General features: G+C 46.4%; 1 protein-coding gene across 1 annotated transcript in view, besides 2 other annotated features; it reads left to right on the plus strand.

The window, feature by feature from the left end:
- The window catches only part of NEURL1 (neuralized E3 ubiquitin protein ligase 1), a 98,842-nt gene that overhangs the window by 29,987 nt on the left and 41,716 nt on the right, over positions 1 to 27,139 (plus strand). The window lies entirely within an intron of this gene.
- Positions 3,892 to 4,392: an enhancer, noted in NCBI's record as "H3K27ac hESC enhancer chr10:105287340-105287840 (GRCh37/hg19 assembly coordinates)". NCBI's record gives its function as "activates a minimal SCP1, AML or CMV promoter by ChIP-STARR-seq in naive H9 embryonic stem cells {active_cell/tissue: H9 hESC(naive)}" and the evidence as "EXISTENCE:reporter gene assay evidence [ECO:0000049][PMID:30033119]".
- Positions 4,393 to 4,893: an enhancer, noted in NCBI's record as "H3K27ac hESC enhancer chr10:105287841-105288341 (GRCh37/hg19 assembly coordinates)". NCBI's record gives its function as "activates a minimal SCP1, AML or CMV promoter by ChIP-STARR-seq in primed H9 embryonic stem cells {active_cell/tissue: H9 hESC(primed)}" and the evidence as "EXISTENCE:reporter gene assay evidence [ECO:0000049][PMID:30033119]".

The following is a 27,139-nucleotide window of genomic DNA, read 5'->3' on the forward strand; positions in this document are numbered from 1 at the left end:
TTGCTATTTATCTTTCTGTACCTGGCTTATTTCAATATCGTAATGTCCTCTGAGCTCATTCATATTGCCATGAATGACAGAATTTCATTTTTTAAATGGCTAAATAGTATTCCATTGTGTATATATACCACATTGTCTTTATCCATTTACTTGTTGATCGACACTTAGGTTGATTTCATATCTTGGCTATTATGAAGAGTGCTGCAATAAACATGGGCGTGCAGCTCTTTGACATAATGATTTCCTTTCCTTTGGATATATACCTAGTAGAAGGATTGCTGGGTCATATGGCAGTTCTGTTTTTAGTTTTTCTGAGGAACCTTGATACTGTTTTCCATAATGGCTGTACTAATTTACATTCCCGCCTGCAGAAAGAGTTCCCCTTTCTCTGCCTCCTTGCCAGCATTTGTAATTTTTTGTTTATTTTGATAATGGCCACTATAACTGGGGTGCAATGATATTTCATTGTCATTTTGATTTGCATATCCCTGATGGTTAGTGATGTTGAACATTTAAAAATATATACTTGTTGGTTTTGTCTGCATTCTTTTGAGAGATATCTATTCAGCTCATCTGCCTGTTTTTTAATTGGAGGATTTTTGTTTGTTTTTTGCTGTTGAGTTGTTTGAGTCCCTTGTATATTCTGGATATTAACCCCTTGTCAGATGAATAGTTTGCAAATATTTTCTCCTATTCTGCAGGTGATCTCTTCATTCTCTTGATTATTTCCCTTGCTGTGCAGAAACATTTTAGTTTGATATAATTTCATTTGTCTACTTTTGCTTTTGTTGCCCGTGCTTTGAGGTTTTCTTTATAAAATCTTTGCCCAGACCAATGTCCTGAAGCATTTCTTCTATGTTTTCTTCTAGTAGTTTTATGGTTTTGGGTCTTACATTTAAGTCTTTAGCCAATTTTAAGTTGATTTTTATATATGGTGAGAGATACGGCTCTAGTTTCATTTTTCTGCATATGGATATCCAGTTTTCCTAGCATCATTTGTTGAAAAGACTGTTCCATCCCCAGTGAATGTTCTTGTCACCTTTATTGAAAATCAGTTTTGCTATAAATACATGGGTTTATGTCTGGATTTCCTATTCTGTTCCATTGGTCTATGTGTCTGTTTTTATGCCAGTGCCATGTTGTTTTGGTCTTTTTAATATATTTTGAGGTCTGGTAGTGTGATATGTCTAGCTTTGTCCTTTTTGCTCAGGATTGCTTTGGCTATATGGGGGGTGGGGTCCATAGAATTTTTAGGATTGTTTTTTCTATTTCTGTGAAGAATGTCTTTGGTATTTTGTTGTGAGTTGCATTGAATCTGTAGATTGCTTTGGGTGGTATGGTAATGTTCACAATATTAATTCTTTTAATCCATAAACATGGATGTCTTTCAGTTTTTTTATGTCCTCTTCAATTTTTTTCATCAGTGTTTAACAGTTCTTATTGTAGAGATCTTTCACTTCTTTGGTTGAATTTATTCCTAGATTTTTTTTTTGTAGTTATTGTAAATGGGATTGCTGTGTTTCTTTTTCTGCTAGTTTGTTGTTGGTGTATAGAAATGCTACTGATTTTTGTATGTTGATTTTGTATTCTGAAATTTTACTGAATTCATTTATTAGTTCTCAGAGTTTTTTTGGTGGAGTTTTTTTTCTTTCTTTCTTTCTTTTTTCTTTTTTTTTTTTTGAGACAGACTTTCACTCTGTTGCCCAGGCTGGAGTGCAGTGGCATCACCTCGGCCCACTACAACCTCCTCCTCCTGGGTTCAAGCCATTCTCCTGCCTCAGCAACCCAAGTAGCTGGGATTACAGGTGTGCGCTACAATGCTGGGCCACTTTTTGTATTTTTAGTAGATATGGAGTTTCACCATGTTGGCCAGGCTGGTCTCCAACTCTTGACCTCAAGTGATCCACCAGCCTCCTCCTCCCAAAGTGCTGGGATTACAGGTGTGAGCCATCGTGACTGTAAGTCTTTTGTTTTTCTATATATGATAGTTTATATGCAAATAGGGACAATCTGACTTCCTGTTGTCTAATATGGATGCTCTTTATTTTTTTCTCTTCCTTAATTGCTCTGGCTAGTACTTCCACTACTGTGGTGAATAAAAGTGGTAATAGTGGGCTTTCTTGTCTTGTTTTGGATCTTGGAGAAAAAGCTTTCAACTTATCCCCTTTCAGTATGATGTTGGCTATGATTTTGTGCTATGTGGCCTTTACTGTGTTGAGATATACTCCTTCTATACCTAACTTGTTGAGAGTTTTTATCATGAAGGGATGTTGAATTTTATCAAGTACTTTTTGTGCATCTATTGAGAGGAGCATATGGTTTTTGTCCTTCATTCTGTTGATGTGATATATTGTGTTTATTGACTTGTGTATGTTGTATCCCTGAGATAAATTCTGCTTGATCATGGTGAATCATCTTTTTGATGTGCTGCTAAATTTGGTTGACCAGTATTTTGTTGAGGATTTTTTGCTTCTATATTTACCAGAGATATTGGCCTGTAGCTTTCTTTTTTTTGTTGTGTACTTGTTTGGTTTTGGTATAGGGTAATGCTGGCCTCATTGAATAAGTTTAGAAGAATTCTTTCCCCCTTAATTTTCTGGAAGAGTTTGAGAAGAATTGGCATTAGTTTTTCTTCAGATGTTTGGTAGAATTCAGCAGCGAGGCCATCAGGTCCTGTGCTTTTCTTTGATGGAAGACTTATTATAGATTCAATATTGTTACTTGGAACTGGTCTGTTCTGGTTTTATATTTCTTCTTGGTTCAATCTTGGTAGATTTCATGTGTCCAGGAATTTCTCAATTTCTGCTAGGTTTTCTTTTCTTTTCTTTTCTTTTTTTTTTGAGACAGTCTCACTCTGTCACTCAGGCTGGAGTGCAGTGGCACGATGTCAGCTCACTGCAACCTCTGCCTCCTGGTTTCAAGTGATTCTCCGGCCTCAGCCTCCCAAGGAGCTGGGATTACAGGTGCGTACCACCATGCCCGGGTAATTTTTGTATTTTTAGTAGAGATGGGGTTTCACCATGTTGGTCAGGCTGGTCTTGAACTCCTGACGTCATGATCCACCTGCCTTGGCCTCCCAAGGTGCTGGGATTACAGGCATGAGCCACCACGCTGGCTGGTTTTCTTTTATTTTTCTGCATATGAATGCCAGGTTATAGCGACTAGGCTTTCTAATTTGTTTGTGTATAGTTGTTTGTAATAGTCTCTAATGATCCTTTGTATTTCTGTGGTATCATCTTTTTTTTTTTTTAAGTAAAAGCAAGTTTATTAGAGAAGTAAAGAAACAAAAGAATGGCTACTGCATAGACAGAGCAGCCCTGAGGGCTCCTGGTTGGCTATTTTTATGGTTATTTCTTATCATATGCTAAATTAGGGGTGGATTATTCGAGTTTTCCAGGAAAGGGGCAGACAATGCCTGGAACTGAGAGTTCCTCCTCCCTTTAGACCATATAGGGTAACTTAGGGATGTTGCCATGGCATTTGTAAACTGTTATGGCACTGGTGGGAGTGTCTTTTTAGTATGCTATTGGCACTTTCATTGCTATCTTGGTTTTGGTAGGTTTTGACTGGCTGGATTTTTTTATTGCACTTTTTTTCTTTTTTTTTTGGTTTTTTTTTTTTGAGGCAGAGTCTCGCTCTGTTGCCCAGGCTGGAGTGCCCTGACACAATCTTGGCTCACAGCAACCTCTACCTCCCAGGTTCAAGCGATTCTCCTGCTTCAGCCTTCCAAGTAGCTGGGATTACAGGCATGCACAACCATGCCAGGCTAATTTTTATATTTGTAGCAGAGATGGGGTTTCACCATGTTGGCCAGGCTGGTCTTGAACTCCTGACCTCAGGTGATCTGCCCACCTTGGCCTCCCAAAGTGCTGGGATTACAGGCATGAGTCACTGCACCTGGCCTATTGTATCTCGTTTCATCAGCAGGGTCTTCGTGACTTGTATCTTGTGATTCCCTATCTCATCCTGTGACTAAGAATGCCTAACCTCCTGGGAATGCAGCCCAGCATATCTCAGTCTCATTTTACCCAGGCCCTGTTGAAGATGGAGTGGCTCTGGTTTGAACACCTCTGACATATTTCTCCCTCCATTTTACAAGGGGACCCTTAATCCTATGGGTTGTAGAGGGATGAATATCTATCTTCTCTAACTTCTGCTGGCTGAATAGGGGTGATGATATTTCTATCTATTAGGGTCTCTTGTATTTAGAGTAGAGAGGAGCTCAGTCAGAAAACATTGGTATAAAGGCCGGGCACAATGGCTCACGCCTGTAATCCCAGCACTTTGGGAGGCCGAGGTGGACCAATCATCTCAGGTCAGGAGTTTGAGACCAGCCTGGCCAACATGGTGAAACCCTGTCACTAGTAAAAATACAAAAATTAGGCCAGGCACGTTGGCTCATGCCTGTAATCCCAGTACTTTGGGAGGCTGAGGTGGGTGGATCACCTGAGGTCAGGAATTTGAGACCAGCCTGGCCAACCTGGTGAAACCCCATCTCTACTAAAAATACAAAAATTAGCTGGGCGTGGTGGCAGGTGCCTGTAATCCCAGCTACTCAAAGGCTGAGGCAGGAGAATCACCTGAACCCGGTAGGCGGATGTTGCAGTGAGCTAAGATTGCACCATTGCACTCCAGCCTGGGCAACAGAGTGAAACTCTGTCTCAAAAGAACAGAAAGAAAAAAAAATACAAAAATTAGCCAGGTGTGGTGGTGTGTGCCTATAGTCCCAGCTATTTAGGAGGCTGAGACAGGAGAATCGCTTGAACCCGGGAGGCGGAGGTTGCAGTGAGCTGAGGTAGTGCCACTGCACTCCAGCCTGGGCAATAGAGCGTGACTCCGTCTCAAAAAAAAAAAAAAAAGAAAAGAAAAAGAAAATGTTGGTATGGTGAGGGTCATTCATAACTCTGACTTCTGACAAAAGGTGATATCAGGAAGAAGAATAAGTGTTCAATTTAAGAAATTGTTGAGTAAGCTTATCCTGCATTCCTGCACAAAGAGTACAACAGCAATATGTTTCACAACAGTAAATCAATATAAGTAAAAGCATTCCAACCAAACTAAATGATAAGTTTAGTTTGCAGTCACAGGTATTTGACTGTGACTTGCCCAGTTCCTGGAAAGAACTGGGAACTTCCCAGGAACTGGAACTGGGCAAGTGTTGGAACCAAGGAACTGGGCAAGTGTTGGAACCAAGCTGATTTGGGGTTGCTACCCAATTCCAGTATATGCCCATAATTAGAAGACTGATCCAGATTTTTATATTACCTATTTCTCTTGTTTCTTCTGAGCAGCAGCCAGAAATCACTAACTGATTCACAGAAATAAGCAGGGTCAATCTAAATTGCAGAAAAAAACTAAAAAACAGCAAATAAGACTAGACTCTAATAACAGGTGTACCATAGTTTTTGAAATACAAATTTTCTCTCTCCAGTCTTCATTTTTATTAAAACCAAATCATGGTTTCATTTGCAAAATAAGCTTTAGTCTTATTATAATTGTCTTGATTGTTTGTAGAAGTGCAGCAAGAATAATTATTTGCCATATAGGCACCTTTTAAAATTGCCTTTGATGGATCTTTGTTCGATAAGGAATCATGGATTAGACTTTTTAAAGCCTTGAGCCGAGCCATGGGTTTGTGACTGCAAATACCTGTATGAGCTGGGTAAATTTCTCTCCTCTCGAGGTCCCAAGATAACTTGGGGCTCCTAAGCCTGCCAGAAAATGACATTCTATACTTACCACAGGTGAGGAACCCTGTACAGGGACTGTGTAGACAAGATATGAGGCCAGTTTTCCCAAGGGGCTTTTATTCCTTAAAGGAATCTGTTTATATCTGAAAGAATGCCATTCCAGTCAAAGCCTTGGTAAAAGAACCAGTCTCCAACTGTGTTCTGTTACAAAAGAAAACAGTTGCTTTTTGCACTTATGTAAATAACTATATTGCCATAAGTTAAGAATACTCACAAATAGTTTCCAAATTCTGGAGAAATCAAATAGAGAGAAAGAAATATGCTCCAAGTTTTGCTTACAGGAGGATTCTTTACTCAATTGCTAAAAGCTGTAAATAATTGAAAAGTTTTCTTGACTCCAAAGTTGGCCAATTGATGCTGCAATCTATTTTCTTTGGGTCAGGGGTCTCTTCAGTATCATCCCTTTGTGATTCACCATGGAAGATGTTACTGGAAAGCGGTCACAATTCAGACCCCAAGAGAGGGTTCTTGGATCTTATGCAAGAAAAAATTTGGGGTGAGTCCACAGAGTAAAGTGAAAGCAAGTCTATTAGAGAAGTAAAGAAACAAAAGAGTGGCTACTCCACAGCCAGAGCAGCCTCTGTGGTATCAGTTGTAATGTCTCTGTTTTGATTTCTGATTTTATGTATTTGGGTCTTTTATCTTTTTTTCTTGGTTAGTCTAGCTAATGGCTTGTCAATTATGTTTATTCTCTCAAAAAAAACCAACTTTTTTTGTCAATCTTTTGTGTTTTCTTTAGTCTCAATTTATTTTATTTCTACTCTGGTCTTTACTATACCTTTCCCACTACTAACTTTGTGTTTTGTTTGTTCTTTCTTTTCTAGTGCCTTGAGATACTTCACTAGATTTTTTTTTTTACTGTATTCATTTATTCCTATAAACTTTCCTCATAATACTGCTTTTGCTGTATCCTATAGGTTTTGCTTTGTTGTGTTTCTATTTTTATATGTTTCAAGACATTTTTAAATTTTCTTCTTAATTTCTGTATTGACCCATTGATTGTTCAGGATCATGTTATTTAATTTCTATGTATTTGTACAATTTCACAAATTGTTGTTACTGATTTCTAGTTTTGTTTAATTATGGTCAGAAATGATAGTTGATATGATTTCAATTCTTTTTTTTTTTTTTCTCTGTCACCCAGGCTGGAGTGCAGTGGCACGATTTGGGCTCACTGCAACCTCTGCCTCCCAGGTTCAAACAATTCTCCTGCTTCAGCCTCCTGGCTAGCAGAGATTACAGGTGTGCGCCACCACAGCCAGCTAATTTTTGTGTTATTAGTAGAGACGGGGTTTCACTGTGTTGGCCAGGCTGGTCTGTAACTCCCGACCTCAGGTGATCCACCTGCCTCAGCCTCCCAAAGTTCTGGGATTACAGGATGAGCCACCACACCTGGCCATGATTTCGGTTCTTTTAGAATTGTTGAGACTTGTTTTGTGGCCTAAAATGTGGTCTATCCTGGACAATGTTCTATGTGCTGATAAAAATAATATGTATTTGCCTGGGCGTGGTGGCTTATGCCTATAATCCCAGCACTTTGGGAGGCTGAGCAGGTGGATCAAGAGGTCAGGAGTTCAAGACCAGCTTGGTCAATATGGTGACACCCTGTCTCTACTAAAAATACAAAAATTAGCCAGGTGTGGTGGTGTGTGCGTGTAATCCCAGCTACTTGGGAGGCTGAGGCAGGAGAATTGCTTGAACCCAGGAGGCGGAGGTTGCAGTGAGCCAAGATTGTACCACTGCACTCCAGCCTGGGCAACAAAGCAAGACCCTGTCTCAAAAAAAAAATGTGTTCTAGAGCTGTTTGATGAAATGTTTTGTAAATGTCTTTACATAGTGCAGTTTAAATTTAATGTTTCTTTGTTGATTTCCTATCTAGATGATCTATCCAATGCCAAGAGTAAGGTGTTGAAGTCCCTAACCATTATTATATTGGGTTCTGTCTCTACTTTTTGAAACATTTTTATTTTTTTTATTTATTAGAGGTGGAGTCTTGCTATGTTGCCCAGGCTGGTCTTGAACTCCTGGCCTCAAGCTACCCTCCTGCTGTGGCCTTCCAAAGTGCTGGGATTACAGATGTGAGCACCATGTCTGGCCCCCACTTTTTTTGAGACAGGGTCTCACTTTATTGCCCAGAGTGAAGTGCAGTAGCATGGTCATAGCTCACTGCATCCTCAAACTCCTTGGGCTCAAGTGATCCTCCTGCCTCAGCCTCCTAAGTGCATACTACCATTCCTGGCTTTTTCTTTTTTTTTTTTAGTAGAGATGAAGTCTCACTATGTTGCCCAGGCTGGTCTTGAACTTCTGGCCTCAAATAACCCTTCTGCCTCAGTCTCCCAAAGTGCTGGGATTACAGGCATGAGCCACTGTGCCTGGCCTCTGTCTCTCCCTTTAGATCTAATAATTTATGCTTTATATATCTGGATGCTCCATTGTTTGGCACATATAATTTATGATTGTTATGTCCTCTTGCTGAATTGATCCCTTTATCATTATATAATGACCTTGTCTCTATTTACCATTTTGACTTAAAGCCTGCTTTATCTGATGTTAAGCATAGCTTTTCCTGCCAATTTTGGTTTCTGTTTGCATGGAATATCTTTATCCATCCCTTCATTTTCAGTCTATATGTGTCTTTACAGGTGAAGTGAGTTTCCTGTAGGTAGCATATAGTTAGGTCATTTATTTTCTTATCCGTTCAGGCAGTGTATGTCTTTTAAATGGAGGAATTTAATCTGTTTACATTCAAGGTTATTGTTGATAGGTGAGGACTTGCCCCTGTCAATTCATTAATTGTTTTCTGATTGTTTTGTGTATCCTTTCTTTCTTATTGTTTATGATTGTGGTTTGGGTTTTTGTTTTTTTGGTAGTGATAAGGTTTGATTCTTTTTCTCCTTTGTGTATTTGCTCTACCAGTGAGTTTTACACTTTTATGTGTTTTCATGATAGTGATGATTGTCTTTTTTGCTTCCAGATGTAGGATTCCATTGAGCATTTCTTGTAAGGCTAGTCCAGTGGTGATGAATTCTTTCAGTTTTTGCTTGTGTGGGAAAGACTATTTCTCCCTAATTTCTGAAGGATAGCTTTGCTGGATATGGTATTATTGGCTGATGATTATTTTCTTTTAGCACTTTGACTGTATCATCCCATTCTCTACTGGCCTGTAAGGATTCTGTGGAGAAATCTGCTCTTAGTCTAATAGATATTCCTTTATATGTGACTCAATGCTTTTCTCTTGCTGTTTTTAGAATTCTCTTTTTTTTTTCCTTTTTTTGGAGGCTTTCTCTGTGAACTTTCTGTATCTTTGACTTTTTACAATTTGACTATAATGGCCTCAGGGAGGGCCTTTTTGGGTTAAATCTATTTGGGAATCTTTGAGCTTCCTTGATCTGGATGTCCACATCTTTCCCCAGACTTAAGAAGTTTTCAGCTATTATTTCATTAAATAGGTTTTCTACACCTTTTTCCTTCTCTTCTCCTTTTTTTTTTTTTTTTTTTTTTTTGAGATGGAGTCTTGCTCTGTCACCTAGGCTGGAGTGCAGTGGCGTGATCTTGGCTCACTGCAAGCTCTGCCTCCTGGCTTCACGCCATTCTCCTGCCTCAGCCTCCCGAGTAGCTGGGACCACAGGCACCCACCACCATGCCTGGCTATTTTTTTTGTATTTTTAGTAGAGACGGGGTTTCATCATGTTAGCCAGGATGGTGTCCATCTCCTGACCTCATGATCCACCCGCCTTGGCCTCTCAAGGTGCTGGGATTACAAGCTTGAGCCACTGTGCCTGGCCCTTCTCTTCTCCTTTTAAAACTACTGTAATACAAATATTTGATTGCTTTATTATGTCTCATAAGTCTTGTAATTTTTCTTGACTTTTTTGTTCTTATTTATTTTTTTCTCTGACTGGGTAATTTCAAATGACCTTTCTTTTTTCTTTTCTTTTTTTTTTTGAGATGGAGTTTCACTCTTGTTGCCCAGGCTGGAGTGGAATGGCGTGATCTCAGCTCACTGCAACCTCTGCCTCCTAGGTTCAAGTGATTCTCCTGCCTCAGCCTCCTGAGTAGCTGGGATTACAGGCATAAGCCACGATGCCGGACTAATTTTGTATTTTTTTTTTTGAGATGGAGTCTCACTCTGTCGCCCAGGCTGGAGTGCAGTGGCGCGATCTTGGCTCACTGCAAGCTCTGCCTCCTGGGTTCACACCATTCTCCTGCCTCAGCCTCCTGAGTAGCTGGGACTACAGGCGCCCGCCATCACACCCGGCTAATTTTTTGTATTTTTAGTAGAGACGGGGTTTCACCGTGTTAGCCAGGATGGTCTCGATCTGCTGACCTTCTGATCCGCCCGCCTTGGCCTCCCAAAGTGCTGGGATTACAGGCTTGAGCCACCGCTCCCGGCCTAATTTTGTATTTTTAGTAGAGATGGGGTTTCTCCATGTTGGTCAGGCTGGTCTTGAACTTCTGACCTCTGGTGATCCACCCGCCTTGGCCTCCCTAAGTGCTGGGATTACAGGCGTGAACCACCGCGCCTAGCTCAAATGACCTACCTTTCAAGTTCAGAGAATCTTTCTTCTGCTTGATCAAGCGCTGTTGAAGCTCTCTATTGCATTTTTTATTTCATTCATTGAACTTTTTGGCTGCAGGACTTCTGTTTGTTTCTTTTAAAATTGTTTCTATCTCTTTGTTGAATTTGTCTTTCACATCGTGAATTGTTTTCTTGATTTTTATCAGATTGTCTATCTGTATTTTTTTTTTTTTGTATCTTGTTGATTTCCTTAAGATCTCTTTTTGAATTCCTTTTCTTGAAATTTGTGGATTTCCTTCCCATTTGGGTCTCTTACTAGTGAGTTATTATGTTCCTTTGGTGGTGTCATATTTTCTTGACTTTTGAGTTTCTTTTGTCCCCACATCCTCACATTGATGTCTGTACATCTAGTGGATCAATCACCTCTTCCATTTTAGAATGGCTTTTGTAGAGAAAGGTTTTCATCTGCAGTTGGGTTGTAGTGTGCCAGTTGGAAAGAGTGTGATGACTCTGTTTCTGGATAGGTGCAATGGTATAGTCTCTATGCAGCTTCTTCAGCTGCACTGGACATCAGCAATAACTGTGAGCACCCCCGTGGCCTAGGCTGTAGATGTTTGTACACTGGCATCATAGGTTGTTAATGTCCTCAGTGTTGAGGGCTCTTGAGGTCCTCCTATTCTCATTTAACCCACAAGGGGAAGACTTAGCCAAGGGTATCTCTCTTGGTATCAAGTCTGACATGGCCTACAAGCAGCTGCAGCAGCCCTGAGTTCCAGGTGCAGGTGCTTAGAGTGGCTGTGGGGCTGGGGTCCTAGGCTGAGGGTCTTGCAAGCGTATTATGCCACCTGGGTCATGGGGTGCAACTTTGCTGTCAGTGGCAGGGTTGGATATATGTTGCCCACAGAGCCAGCATCTGTGACTCTGAAGCACCCGCTATCAGCTCAGCCCCATAGGCTGGGTTGTACCTGTGATTCTACTGCTGGGAGGGAGAGGGCACAGTACTGGCCTGACTCCTGGGAAGAAGTGCTCTAAAGATTTGGGCCTGGGAGACAAGGCATGGCTGCAATTCAGGAACTTGAGCCAATAGGGTTCAGCAGCAACTCAGATCCCAGGGGATGAGGCATTGTGTAGTGTGACTCTAGAACAAGGGATTGTGGGGCTTGGCAATAATCCTGACTGTGTGATGCCAGGTGCAGCAGCAGCAAGTATCCCAGAAAGGTGGGGCACAGCTGTTGTTTGGGCACTGAGGGGGCAAGAAACAGCACAGTGATGACTTTACTCCCCAGGGAGAGGGGTATGTCAGCGGCTCAGACTCTAGAGGGCTAGCCCAGCTCTGGGGCAACAGAGTACTAGGGTTGTTTGGCCTGTAGGGCAGGATGTCTCAGTTCATTCACAGCTCTATTTCCCTGGGACATGGGGTACTAGGTCAGCTCAGTTCTGGGATGCACAGTTGCTCAGCTTGGCCAGGGCACTGATTCCCCAGGAGCTGGTGTGCTGCTTCAGCTCATGCTTGGGGGTGATAGGGGACATGACTGTCCTCGGCAGCCCAGGAACTATTTCCCTGAGATGCAGAGCACCACTTTAGCTTAGGCACTGGGGTGAGTGACTGCTCCAGGTAGCCAAGGTACTGTTTTCTGGGATGTAAGGCACTCCTTCAACTTAGGCACCAGAGAGGTGTGACTGTCCTGAGCAGCCAAGGTACTGTGTTTAGGAGGCAGGGTACCTAGGAAATCAGTTAGGCTCTGGCCCAAGGGGGCAGAAGGAGGGGTAGATGGAGTGGCTCTACCTCTGCTGGGCCCTGCAGGGAAGGGTGCAACAGCTGCTGGCAGCTTGGCTTGGGGATGTTGGGCCACTGGGCTGGGGTGGAGGGTGGCTTAGCTCCAGGGATGAAGGGGACCCATGGCAACTCACCCCGGGAGCAAGATGCGCTCCAGCTGTTGTTCCAATTCCAAGATGGCATAGCAGAGTAGCCATGTGGGCACAGGGGGCATGGCACAGCATTGGCTTCTTCTTTGGAGGAGCACTGCTGTGTGGACTCCAGGCAGCTTCCTTAGCTGAGCTTGGTGCCTGTGAGAATTGCAGGGACTCCAGTGGTGAGGTCTGTAGGTGGCCAAGGTGTTGATGGGGGTTGCTTGCACCCTCTTGCTTACCTCCTGGTTTCCAGCTGATCCTGGTGGGGGGATGGAATGGTAGAGTCCCAGCATTTTCTTCTGTTCTCTGTGTAGCCATCTCAAGTTTCTGTCACCCATCTGATGAACTCTGGCACTCTCCCTCAGTTATTTTTGTTAAAATAACAATGTTGACCGGGCGCTGTGGCTCAGGCCTTTAATCCCAGCGCTTTGGGAGGCTGAGGCGGGTGGATCACCTGAGGTCAGGAGTTTGAGACCAGCCTGGCCAACATGGTGAAACCCCTTCCCTACTAAAAATCCAAAAATTAGCTGGGCGTGGGGGTGGGCACCTGTAGTTCCAGCTACTTGGGAGGCTGAGGCAGGAGAATCTCTTGAACCCAGGAGGCAGAGGTTGCAGTGAGCCGAGATTGCACCATTGCACTCCAGCCTGGGTGACAAGAGCGAAACTGCATGTCTCTCTCTCTCTCTACCTATCTATCTATCTATATACCTATATCATTGTTTATTCATTGTTTTGGCTATCTTTATGATGGGGAGGAGCACTAGCGGGTTCCAGTCTTGTTCTCCTCCCGAGTGTGATAGCATTTTTAATGGACAATCCTTTAGGGCATCTTTCCAAAGCTTTCAACTTAGTTTTTGTTTCTGTACTTAAAAAAATTATGGTAAAATACACATAACATAAAATTTAAACATTTAATTTAACCATCTTAACCATTTAAGTGTACAGTTCAGTGGTATTAAGTACATGTGTTATTTTGCACCATCCATCTCCAGAACTTTGTTCATTTTCCCAAACTGGAACCCTGTACCCATTAAACACTAGCTTCCCATTTCCCAGTGCCCTCAACCCCAGGCAAGCACCATTCTACTTTCTGTCTCTGTGAATTTGAGTACTCTAGGTATCTCAGATAAGTGGAATCATACAGTATTTGGTTTTTTTGTGAGTGCTTATTTCACTTAGCATAATGTCCTCAAAATTCATTCTTGTTTTAGCATATATTAGAATTTCTTTCCTTTCTAAGGTTGAATTATATTCCATTGTATGTATGTGCCACATTTTGTTTATCCATTCATCAGTCAATGAACACTTGGGTTGCTTCCATGTTTTGGTCATTGTGAATAATGCTGCTATGAACATGGGTTTATGAATTCTGTTCAAGTCCAAGTCCCTGCTTTCCATTCTTTTGGGTATGCACCCAGAGTGGAATTGCTGGATCATATGGTAATTCTATTTTTAATTTTTTGAGGAACTGATTCATCTTAGTTTTTATAGAAGTAACACTTTTTTCCCCCTACTCCCTCCTCTCGCACTCTTATATATATTTTTTGAGACAGGGTCTCACTGTGTCACCCAGGCTGGAGTGCAGTGGTGTGATCATGGCTCACTGCAACCTCCTGGGCTCAGGTGATCTTCCTACCTCAGCCTCCGGAGTAGCTGGGACCACAGGTGCACACCACCATGCCCGGCTAATTTTTGTAATTTTTGTAGAGATGGGACTTCACCATGTTGCCCAGAGTGGTCTTGAACTCCTGAGTTCAAGCGATCCGCCCACCTCAGCCTCCCAAAGTGCTGGGATTACAGGCGTGAGCCACCGCGGCTGGCTTACGCTTACATTTAATAGGTTTTAAAATACAGCTTTATTAAAGTATAACTGACAAAAATATACTGCACATATTTAAAATGCACAGTTGATGTGTTTTGACATATGCATATACCTGTGAAATCATCAGCACCATGAACTTAGTGGACATTTCCGTCACCCTCACAAGTTCCCTTGTGCCTTAAATAATCCCCTCTCCTACTCCTCCCTGCTGCACCCCCCGCCTCTGCCATAATCAAGTAACCGCCAGCTGCTTTCCGTCACTATAGATTAGTTTACAGTTTTTAGAGTTCTATGTAATGGGAATGATACAGTATGGTCTCTTTTTTTCTCTAGCTTCTTTCACTCAGCATAATTAGTTTGAGATTCATGCATGCTATGGTGTATATCAATAATCCATTTATTTATTTATTTATTTATTTGAGACAGAGTCTCTCTCTGTCGCCTAGGCTGGAGTGCAGTGGCATGATCTCAGCTCACTGCAACCTCCACCTCCTGGGTTCAAGTGATTGTCGTGCCTCAGCCTCCTGAGTAGTTGGGACTACAGGTGTGAGCTACCACGCCGGGCTTAATTTAGGCACAGATTTACCCTGGATTAGGCTGAGCACGGTGGCTCACGCCTGTAGTTCCAGCACTTTGGGAGGCCAAGGCAGGCGGATCACCTGAGGTCAGGAGTTCAAGACCAGCGTGGACAGCATGGTGAAACCCCGTTTCTACTAAAAACGCAAAAACTAGCTGGGCATGGTGGCATGTGCCTGTAATCCTAGCTACTCAGGAGGCTGAGGCAGGAGAATCACTTGAGCCCGGGAGGCAGAGGTTGCAGTGAGTAGAGATAGTGCCACTGCACTCCAGCCTGAAAGACAGAGTGAGACTCCGTCTCAAAACAAACCAAACTTTTTTTTCCAACCACCTGCTACCCACTGATGAGCATTTTTTCTTTTTTGTTTATTTTCTTTCTTCCTTTTTTTTTTTTTGAGATGGTGTCTCGCTCTGACGCCCAGGCTGGAGTGCAGTGGCACGATCTCGGCTCACTGCAACCTCCGCCTCCCGAGTTCAAGTGATTCTCCTGCCTCAGCCTCCTGAGTAGCTGGGACTACAGGGGCATGCCACCTTGCCCCGCTAATTTTCGTAATTTTAGTAGAGGAGGGGTTTCACCGTATTGGTCAGGCTGGTCTTGAACTCCAGACCTCAGGTGATCCACCTGCCTTGGCCTCCCAAAGTGCTGGGATTACAGGCATGAGCCACCGCACCCGTTTTTTTTTTTTTTTCTTTTTCAGACAGGGTATTTCGCTGTTACCCAGGCTGGAGTGCAGTGGTACAATCATGGCTCACTGTAGCCTCGACCTCCCAGGCTCAAGCAATTCTCCCACCTCAGCCTCCTGAGAAGCTGGGACTACAGGCATACACCACCATACTTGGCTGATTTTTGAGCTTTTTGTAGAGACAGGGTTTTGTGATGTTGCCCAGGCTGGTCTTGAACTCCTGGGTTCAAGCAGTCCTCTCACCTTGGCCTCCCAAATTGCTGGGATTAAGGCATGAGCCACTGCACCCAGCCAATGAGCATTTTTTCATGTGCTTATTTGCCAGTTATATATTTACTTTGGTGAAGTGTCTGTTTAAATTTTTGCCCATTATTTTTCATTAGGTCGTTTTCTTATTTTTGAGTTTTAAGAGTTGTTTATATATTCTGGATTCTCTATTAGATATGTGCTTTGCAATGAATTTCTCCCTGTCTGTGGCTAATCTTTTCATTCTCTTAAAAGAGACTTTTCATACTTTTTATGTCCTATTTAAATAAATCACACAGTTTTCTGGCATACCAACCTGTCATCAAGTTTAGGGACAACACGGCTTCTCATTATGGGTGGCAGTTCAGCTGGAGGGAGCAAAGGGGTGTGTGGGGACACCAGGGAAGACACTCCCAGCTTTGAAGTTTCCATGTACTAAGGGCATCAATCAGAATGTTCTCCAGAGGAAATGGAACTCATCTTATGGCTGAGGACCCTGTTTTTAACTTGAGCGTGCAATGTGTCCAATGAAAAGACCACACATTTCAGCTTCTTGTCCAGCTTGGTGTAGGCATGTGACTACATTCTGGTCAATGAGATGCAAATTAGAATTGTTGGGTGGACTTTGAATAAGGCTCCTTTAAAGAGGGGCAGGTAGCTAATATATGTCCTTTGGTTTTGGTTTTCTGTGTTCTTTCTGTTTCTTGCCTGGAATGTGGGCAAGCTGGCTGGAGCTTCAGCTTCTATTTCAGACTATGAAGCAACCTTGCAATGTTATGTGGAAGATGGCGTAGAAAGATGAAAGAAGCCCAGGTCCCTGATAATTACAGAGCTGCCACACTAGCTATGTCTGTGTACCTGCAGACTTCCTATGTTAAAGAAAACACTTAATATATTTTAAAAGCAATGTTATTTCTGTTTTTTATTACTAGCAACCAAATGCAATTCCTCACAGACACAGCTGGTTAACATAGCAGTGCATCAGGAGGAAGTCAGCTGTATTGCATATATGCTTATATCATTGAGATCATAATGTGAGAACATTTTAACCCCTGCTTTTCTGCTTTTAAAATTTTCTTTTATTTTCAGACTTTTTTTTTAAATTTTTTGAGATGGAGTCTTGCTCTTTCACCCAGGCTGGAGCGCAGTGGCCTGATCTCAGCTCACTGCAACCTCTACCTCCCGAGTTCAAGTGATTCTCCTGCCTCAGCCTCCTGAGTAGCTAGGACTATAGCCGTGTGCCACCACACCTGGCTAATTTTTGTATTTTTAGTACAGACAGGGTTTCACCATGTCGGCCAGGCTGGTCTCGAACTCCTGTCCTCAAGTGATCTGCTCACCTCAGCCTCCCAAAGTGCTGGGATTACAGGTGCGAACCACCACGCCCAGCCTTCACACTTATTTTTATCACTACTTTTTTCTCCAGTACCATCACCATCTTCAACTTTATCATCTTGTGCTTAATGTCATTATCATTATGAATAAGAATCATTTTCGTTACCATAACCATCTTTAGAGGATTCTCTTCTTGTTGATGGAGGGTGATTTGTGTATAAAATGTATTTTTTTAAATTAAATATTCCATTGGGGCGAAGTGAGGGGAGGCCGAGGGAGCCTTTGTCATTGAGGAACGTCTGTGGAAAGGGGTGGAATTGGTACTCAGACTTAGGACAGCTTCAATATTCATTGGTCATGGGCCACATCAGTCATTTCTGTGCTGCCAATGGCCAGGGTTGCTCCCACATGGGGATGCCCTCTAGGCATGTAAGTGAAACAACAGGGATGGATTTCAGTCTTCTGCCAGAGTTGGCTGGTAGGGCAGGTCAGGGTCAGTACTGCTTATAAAGAAAGGCAGAAGTAACTGAACTCGATAATGTAAGAAATAAGAAACTGTTGGAGGGTCTTGAGTTGGGGAGTAGCATGGTTTGTGTAGGAAGGATTAGGGATGGGGTGGAAGGGACACACAACTGGGTAGTAGTAGTCCAGGCATGAGGTGATGCAGGTCGTGTGTTAGGCAGGTCATGGGTTAAGTAGACATCAAGAGAGGATTAAACATACATACATACATGCCTACATACATACATAATCAGGGGAAATGCCTGTGTGAAGAAAAATAAGGAGGAAGCTGGGGGAGTCTGGGGGAGCCATCAGACCTCAGTGCAAGTGGGACCCTGAGTGAAGGAGAGGGGTAAGAAAGGAAGGAAGTTTGGTGGGAGCATATCAGACTATAGTGCAATTCTAAGAAAAGTTCTGCAAGACCTTGGAGTATCCTTCAGCCAGAGCCACAGTCCCTGGCCAGTGGAGCCCCACATCTCCCAGGAATGGTCCTGCCTTAATATCCCTGCCACACGCATCACTAGCTGGGGTGAGCTGTGGGAAGCATTGCCTTGGAGCAAACATGGGGATGGACTTCAGAGCTCCACAGCTGGGGCCATCAGTCAAGCGTCCACCCTGCAGTGGAAGATCCAGAGGCCCATTTTCCTGGATGACATGGGGATGACTGGGGTGAGGGACATGAGAAGGTGACTGCTGTTGTCTCAGGCCTATCTATTGCAATAACAAATGCTGGCCTGCACTGACTTAAGCAGTAAGGAGCTGTACTATGCAGAAAACCGGATGTCCCAAGGTGGGTGGCTTTCAGGGTTGGCTGAGTCAAGGCTGTAGGATGAAGTACTTCCCATCTCTCTACTCTGCCATCCTTGGGTTGGTTTCCTTCTAGACCAGTAGTGACATGGCCATGGTGGTCCCAGGAATTGCAGCAGGACACAGTGATATCTGGAGAAAGGAGAACGACCCCTATGTTCTGTGGAGCAAGGATCCCTTTCTCAGAGGGGTTCCAGCACATTTCCCACTGCTGGGAAATCTATGCCTCATTGGCCAGAAGTGGGTCACCTGGCCATTCTTGACCATGTCACTGAGAAGGGGAATGAAACCATTGTGATTGGCTTATTGCCAGGGTATGGCACGCTGGCTGTATGTGAGAATTGCTTGGGGAGCTGGGCCCCACACTTCAGATTTCTCTATGAATTGGTCTAGCGTGGATACTGGGCATCAGTAATTGTTTTTGTTTTTGGTTTTTTTGAGACAGAGTCTCTCTCTTGCCCAGGCTGGAGTACAGTGGCGTGATCTCTGCTCACTTCAGCTTTGACCTCCTGAGCTAAAGCGACCCTCTCATCTCAGCCTTCCAAGTAACTGAGACTACAGACACACACCACCATGCCCAGCTAATTTTTATTTATTTTTTTGTAGGGACAGGGTCTTGCTATGTTACCCAGGCTGGTCTCAAACTCCTGGGCTCTAGTGATCCTCCTGCGTCAGCCTCCCAAAGTGCTAGGATTACAGGTGTGAGCCACCACACTTGGCTCTACCAGTAATTTTATTACCTCCTAGGTGATGCTGATGTGCAACCAGGGCTGAGAACTGCTGTTGTCTTGGGGTGGTGTAGATGTTGGGCATCAGCCACCATGTCCATTACAGTCACTTACTAGTTTTTTGTGGCTTAGACAAGTCACTTACCCTCTTTCAGCTTTGGTTTTCTCATCTGTAAAATGGGGTCTGGCAATAGTTACCTCCTGTGCTTCCTGGGAAGACTGAAACAGTTCGTGAGTGCTCGTAGGCTTTGCAAACTGTAAGTCACTGACACCCGGGGGCTGGCTGCTTATCATTCTTATTCAATTTGGAGGGAAAGCACAGCTCCCTCTGCTGCCAAGAACAGCCAGGGCAGAGATTTCTCTTGAGCACAGCTTCCTGTCATTAAAACAAAAAAACGAAAGAGAAGGGAAAACGACAGACTGGGAAGCCACAGGCAATTGCAGTGGGCTTTTTTCTTCTTGGAAGGCGTGGGTTTGAAGGCGCTGCTATAAATGGTTTATGCAAATGAGCTGGAGGCGCTCTGTCCCCTGCCGCTTTAATCCGGGAGAAGCTGGGAGGGAGCCAGGCACAAGGTTTTCCGCCCCTCCTCCCTGTAGTCCTGCAGTGGGGTGGCTGGGGGCAGGCAGATGCTCTTCTGCTGCCTCCAGGGAAGATGGTCAGATAAGGCTCTGCACTCTGGCTCCCCCATGTTCCAGGACACACCTGGCTGCGTGGCTTCTTGGCTCTTTCTGCTCGAGTGAGCACAGGCTAGTGCTGCCAATAGTACTGCAGGAACAAGGAGGGCCCCCACTGGTGCTGCGAGGTCACGGCCAGGCAATCTGTCACCTTTGGGTCTCACTGGGTCCACAGGGACCTGGGGCACTGGAGAGGAGCAGAAGGGGGAAGAGTAAAGAGCCCGCACCATCGGCTCCAGGCTTTCATCTTCCCTCCCTCCTCCTCCTCTTCCTCTTTTCTTCCTTTCTTCATGAAATCTACTTTGAGCATTATGGAGTGACCACCTTGTCAGATGCTAAGGATCTAGAGATAAAAAGATACCTTTCTACCTTCAGGGTGCTCCCAGTATGGGAAGGGCCTCCTGCCATGGCTGCAGGGCTGGGGCTGCACAGAGGACTGGCTGGACAGCCTTGGAGAGGGATAGTCTGGTCTATTCCATCCCAGGGCATTGGGATGATCTCAGAGGAAAGGCTCTTCTGAGCTGGGGGCTGAAGGTGAGGTGGGAGTGTTTGTGGGACCAGTGCCAGGGAGGGGCACTCCAAGGAGAGGGACAGTGTTCAAAAAGCAACAGACAAGTGATGTGCCATGTTCTAGAACACAACTGGCTCGTGTGCATGGAGCATAGGTACATGGGGTGGGGTAGGGGGGGTCATGGAAGGTGAGGCCAGACACATGGGCTGGGGTCAGTTCACAGAGGACCTTGAATAATCCCCAAAGTGGGGGTCGAGTTTATCCTGATGCTCGGGAGCCACAGGAGGTAGAGGGCTGAGTCGGGCAGAGATGCCCGCCTGGCAGCCCTGCAGAGGGGGACGGAGGCTGGAATGATTGTCCAGAGCAGGATGATGCTGGGGGCCTGAACCATGGGCAGAGCCAGGGGAGGGAAGGAGGGGATGGATTTGAGAAGGACACGGTGACCTCTTGGATGGGGAATCTGGGCTGACACCAGATTTCCGGCCTGGATAACAGAACTCAAGGGATAAACTGGGCCCTGGAACCTTGGGGGTGCCCATGTTGGGTGGGGCCAGGAGGAGGACTGAGAAGCAGTCACTTCCAGTGAAGAATGTGCCGCTGGCCCATCCTGGGTTTCCCACCAGACCCTGGTGGAAGGGGGAATGGGAGAAGGAGCTGCTTCTTCAGACAGTTTAGAAATTCTTGATTGCCTCCCCCCAAATGATCCCCATCCCACATTCCTGATTCAGGGAACTCCTGGTTCAGAGATAAAGTGAACCAGTCCAAAGCCTCTATTTTACAGGTGTGAAAACTGTGTCCCGAGAGGGGACTGACTTGCCCAAGGTCACACAGTGAATTATGGCAGGCAGTGTCATGGTTAGTAAAAAAGGACCCCCAAACAAAGTCTAATGTAGCCCACCTCCTTCACTTGCCCTGAGAACAAAGAGCTCTCTTCCCCAGAGGGAATTGGGCTTGGCTAAGCAGGGTTGAGGTTGTGAGGGGTGCAGCATTTGTTTTAGAGAAGGGAGGGGTTCCCAGGGAAGAGACCTCCTGCCCCTATTTGCCTGCTGGTGGAGCCCAACCCAGGAGCTGCATTTGCTGCCCACATTCTGGAGCCCTGACTGCCACCACCGCCACCAGGAGGGAGAAGCCACGGAGACATTAAAAGGGGCTGCCCTCCCTAAATTCCAGAGCCTCAGGGCCTGCCTGGAACTCAGGAGTTCTGACTGCCAGGGAAGGCTTTGCTTTCTCAATGATGACCCTGCACAGTCCTGGGGTCTCTGAAGGAAGTAATCCCGAAGAGGGAGGTGTCGGGGGACAGGAGCCTGAGAGAAGTTACTGGAAAGGGAAGAAAGGAAGGCGGCGGCAATGAGCCACGGATGAATGTGCAAATTGTGAGATGGGGCAGCTGCAGGGAACAGCTAGGAGCTAGAGCGGTGGGTTTCTGTCATTGCAGTCACCCTGTGGTGGCTCCCCTCCTTGGGCTGTCCTTTGTGCAGGAATACCACAGTCCTGACAGCCACCTTTGGTGGCCACACCTGAACTCTGGCTCAGGAGGGTGGGGCAGCCAGCCCTGAGCCAGCCACATGCCCATGGTCCCCAGGTCTTTAGGGACTAAAAGCCCCTGTTTGTGGGGCTATGAGATGTGAGGTTGTCTGGGGTTGGGGTCAGGGACTCAGTCTAGGGCTAGGACTGGAGGTGTAGTAGCAGGGGACAGAGTTCCTTCCTGGACTCAGTGGGGATGAGAGCCACTGGCCTTTCCTGAGAGGCACTGCATGGACCCCATTACTCACAGGTACCTCTGTGCCTGGGGATCTTGCCTGTGGCCCAGCAGCTGGCATGGCCGGTGTCCTCTGGGCTCTAGGTCATGGCCCATAGTGGTAGGCACAGAGCTGGCATAGTGCAGTGGCTGGACTCAAGTCATCTCTCACCTTTGCTGTATGAGAACAGCAGTTCCTATTTTTTGAGCCAAGCCAAGCCCTCTGCTCCTGCAAGGGACTGCCACACCCTTTTTCTTTCTGGAGCATTTTCAGGTTTATGCCTTGCAACCTGTGAGAGCTGGCACCCCCTGCCTCAGTCCCCACTTTCTCTTTTGGAGACGTGTGTGGTGCTGAAGCTCTGACCCCTAGTGTGGGAGTGGCCCAGAGCCTGGCTGGGGCAAGGCCTGCAGGTGGGTGCCTAGGTGCATGACGGGGACTCTGGCAAAGTAGGATGGTGACTGTGGGCACACTACAGCCAAAGTCCAGGGCAGTCCACATTGGGATCAAATTTCACTTTTCTTTTTTTAGAGACAAGGTCTCACTCTGTCAGCTAGGCCAGGTGCAGGAGTGTAATCATAGCTCACTGTAACCTCAAACTCCTGGGCTCAAGTGATCCTCCTGCCTTGGCCTCCCAAAGCTCTGGGATGACAGACGTTTGCCACTGTGCCCAGCTCAAATTTTACATTTGTGGGTGCAGTGGCCCTGGGTCCCTCTGATTGATGCTGTGTTTATTTAACCGAAGGTGGCTGTTCTCAGGGGCAGCACTCTGCAGTAGACAAAGCCCTGGGGCCTGCACTCTTGAGTCTGAAATCTGGGTTCTGGCCCAGCTCTGGCACTTTATAGCTTTAACAATTAATTTCCACCTCCTTGAGCCTCTGTTTTTCTCTTTCTGTACAAAGGGATGAGCATCTGTCCTGTGGTACCTGATAGGGTACTTTTGCAGATCCAGTAAGATACTGGTGACATTGTTTCATAGCTTTTAAGAGCTGGGTCATTCTGAGAGGCCACGTGGCAGAGGGGCAGGTGTTGGGCTCTGATGTCCAGTAGGTGTGTTTCTAAATCCCAGCTTAGCTGAGCATTAGCTGTGTGACCTGGGCAAAGTATTCAGTGTCCCCAAGCCTCAATGTTCCCATCTAGGGTGCTGAGTTCCTCCCCTTCTGGGGGCCCAGAGCAGATGTTTCAAGATGCTGGCAGCAGATGTAATTTTCTGAATTGATTTGGGTACTTATTTGTCAAGTTCCTGCCTAGTTTTTTCAGAGGAAGAGGTGCCAGGACCCCCTACTGATGGGCTAAAGCCCCTTCAGGGGAGCCAGGTCAGAGGTGGGGGGAGACCAGGCCACTAGGCCTTTTGGGGCTAAAGAGCTTTGAGAGGAAGAAGCCCCCAGATAGAACAGCTCTGGGCAGACTGACTTGAGATCAAATCCCGACTCTGCCATTTCCCACCTCTGTGTCCTGGTTTCCTCATTTGTAAGGAAGGGTAAGGTCAGGGCCTCTGTATAGAGGTCAGGAGTAGCTCATCTACAGTGCTACCACATACTAGCGCTTCCCATGCACCCCACATTGTTCTGAGCACACGACATGCATGAGCTCATTTCATCTACCCAGTAGCCGTAGGAGCTAGGCACTATTACTATCAACCCAATTTTTCAGAAGAGGAAATGGACACTTAGTAGATGTTAGAACCAAGGTTTGAACCCGGGAAGTTTGACTCTGGAGCCTACTCTTAATTGCCACCTCTACTGTGAAGCCCCTAGTGTAGACAACACTGGTGGCACTGAGTAGTATTTGCTGTGTCACAGCACTGGGATCCAGCTGCCAGTGGCCATACTGGGAGTACCCCAGCCAAGGGCCTGAGCCCCTGTGGGGTCCTGTACTGTCACTTTGTTGTAGCTACTGACACCCAGTATCTGAGCCCAAAGGTTGGAGTCAGAGGCCCCAGGAGGGGTAGCAGGCAGGGGCAGGGCCAGGGCATGGGAGCAGAAGTGGAGGCCAAGTCAGCTGGTCCTGGGCTTGGCCATCCCTCTGTAAGCTGGACCTGGGAGAGGCAGGAAGCAGGCAAGAGCCAGAGGAAGCAGAATCCCCAGAGGAAGGAGGGGGGCCTCCCAGCTTTGGGGTGGCTTCAGCTAGCTGGGGGCCTGACACAAGAAGGAGTGGGCACCAGGAGCGTAGGCTGAGCCGTGGGGCTAAAGTTGTATATGTGAATGTGAGTGTGAGTGTGTGCGTGGGGTGGAGGTGAAGGGAGGGATGGATTGAGGAGGATCTCTGCCTGTGGAGGAGGGATTTAACCTCCTGTTATCAGCTGCCAGCTTTTCTCATAATCCAGGCAGGCCCATCAGGGATCAGCAGAGTGTGTTTCCGCATCTCGGATGGACGAGGCCCATGTCTTGTTCCAGCACATCCCGCGCTCATCCTGTCTCCTGCGACACCCTGGGTCTCCTCATTTCTCTGCGTCTCTTCTCCCCATAAAGTCTCGTTGCCTGCCCTTCCTCACCCTCCCCATCCAGGTTCTGGTGTAGGGAGCAAATCTTATGTATTCAGACCCTGCTAATTTATCACTTGTGATTGCTGGGACAAAGGCTAGCTTCCAGTTTAAAATTCATTCTATTCCTGAACAAAAATGCAGCACTAACCAGGTGATAAGGGACTGTTTAATCTACTTCCTTAGAAGAACTGACTGCTACCCAGTGCTCTGAAATGGCATTTGCATGTGAGGCACCCATGCAATCATACATGCAAAGCTTAGAATGTGCCTGATGCAGAGTAAGCGGGTACCGAGTAAATGTTTCTTATTAAAGCAGGTCTTCTATTTCTCCTCCTTGGGGTAATATGTATTTTTCTTTTTTTTTGAGATAGTTTTCACTCTTGTCACCCAGGCTGGAGTGCAATGGCACAATCTCGGCTCACTGCAACCTCCACCTCCCGGGTTCAATTGATTCTCCTGCCTCGGCCTCCCGAGCAGCTGGGATTACAGGGGTGTGCCACCACGCCTGGCTAATTTTTGTATTTTTAGTAGAGACAGGGTTTCATCATGTTGGCCAGGATGGTCTCGAACTCCTGACCTCAGGTGATCTGCCCGCCTCGGCCTCCCAAAGTGCTGGGATTACAGGTGTGAGCCACCACGCCTGGCTGTATTCTTAGTGCTATATGCATATCCTGCATCCCAAGTCACTCTTCTCCAAGGCTGGGACAGAGACTTTAGTCCTTCCAGTTCTACGTGGATTCCCGAGTTCTCTGACTCTCAAGCGTTGCTGTTATGGATGGAGCCAGGCAGCGGCCGTCACAGGTGTTATGTTATTCAGTTCTCACAAGTTTCTGGGCCATGTGATCTCCACCATGGAGAAGAGATGGTGGAGCCTCAGAGAAGCTCAGTAGCTTGCCTGTCCAACCTGAAGACCAGAGCTCCCACCCTCCATGTGGGTGGGGTGGGCACATCCATCCACCCTTCCTGACCTGTGACACAGATCTTATCATAGGCAAATGTTTGCCTCCAGCTAGGGACTCAGTGGGTGTGGGCTTTGTCTGGCACACTCTGTCCTGGGAATAGAAACCTGGTTTCTTCCTTGTTCCATCCTTTCTGCCTGGCATGGATGGTGATCCTTCTGTCCAGTCTACGCTGGCCATGCTGGCCCTGAGGCCTGGAACTGGGGAGCACGAGCAGGTGTGTTTGTGTCTTGGAGAGGCCGAGAAAGGGCTGCTTGGCAGTGGGCCTTGGCAGGGAGGGACCTCAACTCCATCCAGGTTCTGTTTGCTCAGATTCCCTTTCAGTCTCCACCCCTCCTCTGCACCTGTTGTGTTCCCATCCTCCTGGGCGGCTGGCAGCTGTCACGGCTGGGGCACCTGTCCCAACCCCCGAGGACGCCCTCTGGGCTCCCTGGCTCCAGTTTCTCTGCAGCACTTGGCTTGCACTCTCCATCTCTGAGTACTTTTGCTCTCCTCTCCCTCCTCATCTCTCACTCTTCCAGACTCGAGGCAGCAGCCTCCACTCTTGTCCTGGCTCTGGGCATAGAAGGAAGCTTTCAGCTGGGGTTCCCTGCTTCCTATTCTCTACTGCCAGGCCCAGCCTAATGAGTAGAGAGGATGGGGCCCTGGCAGGATGGCCATAAGCCTCAAATGCTGATGAGGCGGCTCATCAACTCAATCAAATTATCCCTTGTTCTTGATGAAGGAAACACTATAGCAGCAAGGGGCTGCCTCCCAGCTCCTCCACAGCAGGGTCACCTCCTCTTCCTGGCCTCCCCAGACCCTAGTCACTTCCCCCTACTTCATAAAAAGAAGTTACCCCCTCCCTTGTCCAGTGTTGTCTTCTATACCTCCTGATGCCTGGATTTATATGTCATATTAGGCATAGCAGCAGAAGACATTACTCCTGGGTCCCAGTCCTCCTTGCCTTCCACCCACTGTGTGGCCTTGGCAAAGTCTCTATCATTTATTGGGCCTTCTTTGCTACACCTGTAAAATGGGCCCAGAACTTCTTTGCCTGCTTGAAGGTAGGGGCTGGCCCCAGTGCTCTCTGGAGGCTCTTCCCCATTAGAGAGCTTGGTGACTGTGACTGTGATGGTTTCTATTCCCCAGTGAATTTGTTCCATGTTTTATTCTGGAGTTGCTGGCTCTGCCTTAGACTTTGAGTTCTGAGAGGGCAGGTTTAGGCTGGGAATGAGGTGCTAGGCCTTGGGGAACCTGGATGAGAGAGGACTTGGTGAGGAAAGCCTTGAGCTAGGTAGACCATCATGGAAACCAAGATGGCACCCAAGGGAAGAGGAGCTGTCTGAAAGGGGTCAGGGGACAGGAGATGGCAGGGAAAAGAGGGACAGCTATAGTAGTGGGGAGGGCCTTGGGAGCTGAATGGGTTCAGAGAGCCAAGGGGCCTAAGGTTCCCTAGATGGCATGAGAGGACAGATGCAGCTGGGGATTCTGTCAGACCAGGCCCCCAGGGGCACTGCCAGCCCTGCTTCCTGCCTGCAGGCTTTGAGGTATTAAGTCCCCACCCAGGTCATATATGGGTCTGTGTTCTTCACAATTTCCAGGATGACATCTCCAGTGTCTGTCTGGGTCACCTGTTAGCGGATGAGAAGTCCAGCCTTACTGCCTGTTCTCCACCTGCATTTAGGCTTCATCCCTGGAATGTCACCTTCTGTCTTCTGGAAAACGTCTAGGCTCTGCTGCCATACAGAACCCTTCTGCTTCCTTAAGGAGACGGTCCACTGTCCCCTTGTCTTCTCTCCTCTAAGCAAGAGGGGCCCCTGCCCGTTGCCCTTTCCTGGATGGAGCATGAGTTTTGATGTCAGGCAGGTCTGGGTTTGAAGCCTCGTTTGTCTTGCCTTCAGAATAACCTCTCT

This window comes from Homo sapiens, chromosome 10 (genome assembly GCF_000001405.40).
Source record: "Homo sapiens chromosome 10, GRCh38.p14 Primary Assembly".
Lineage (NCBI taxonomy): Eukaryota > Metazoa > Chordata > Mammalia > Primates > Hominidae > Homo > Homo sapiens.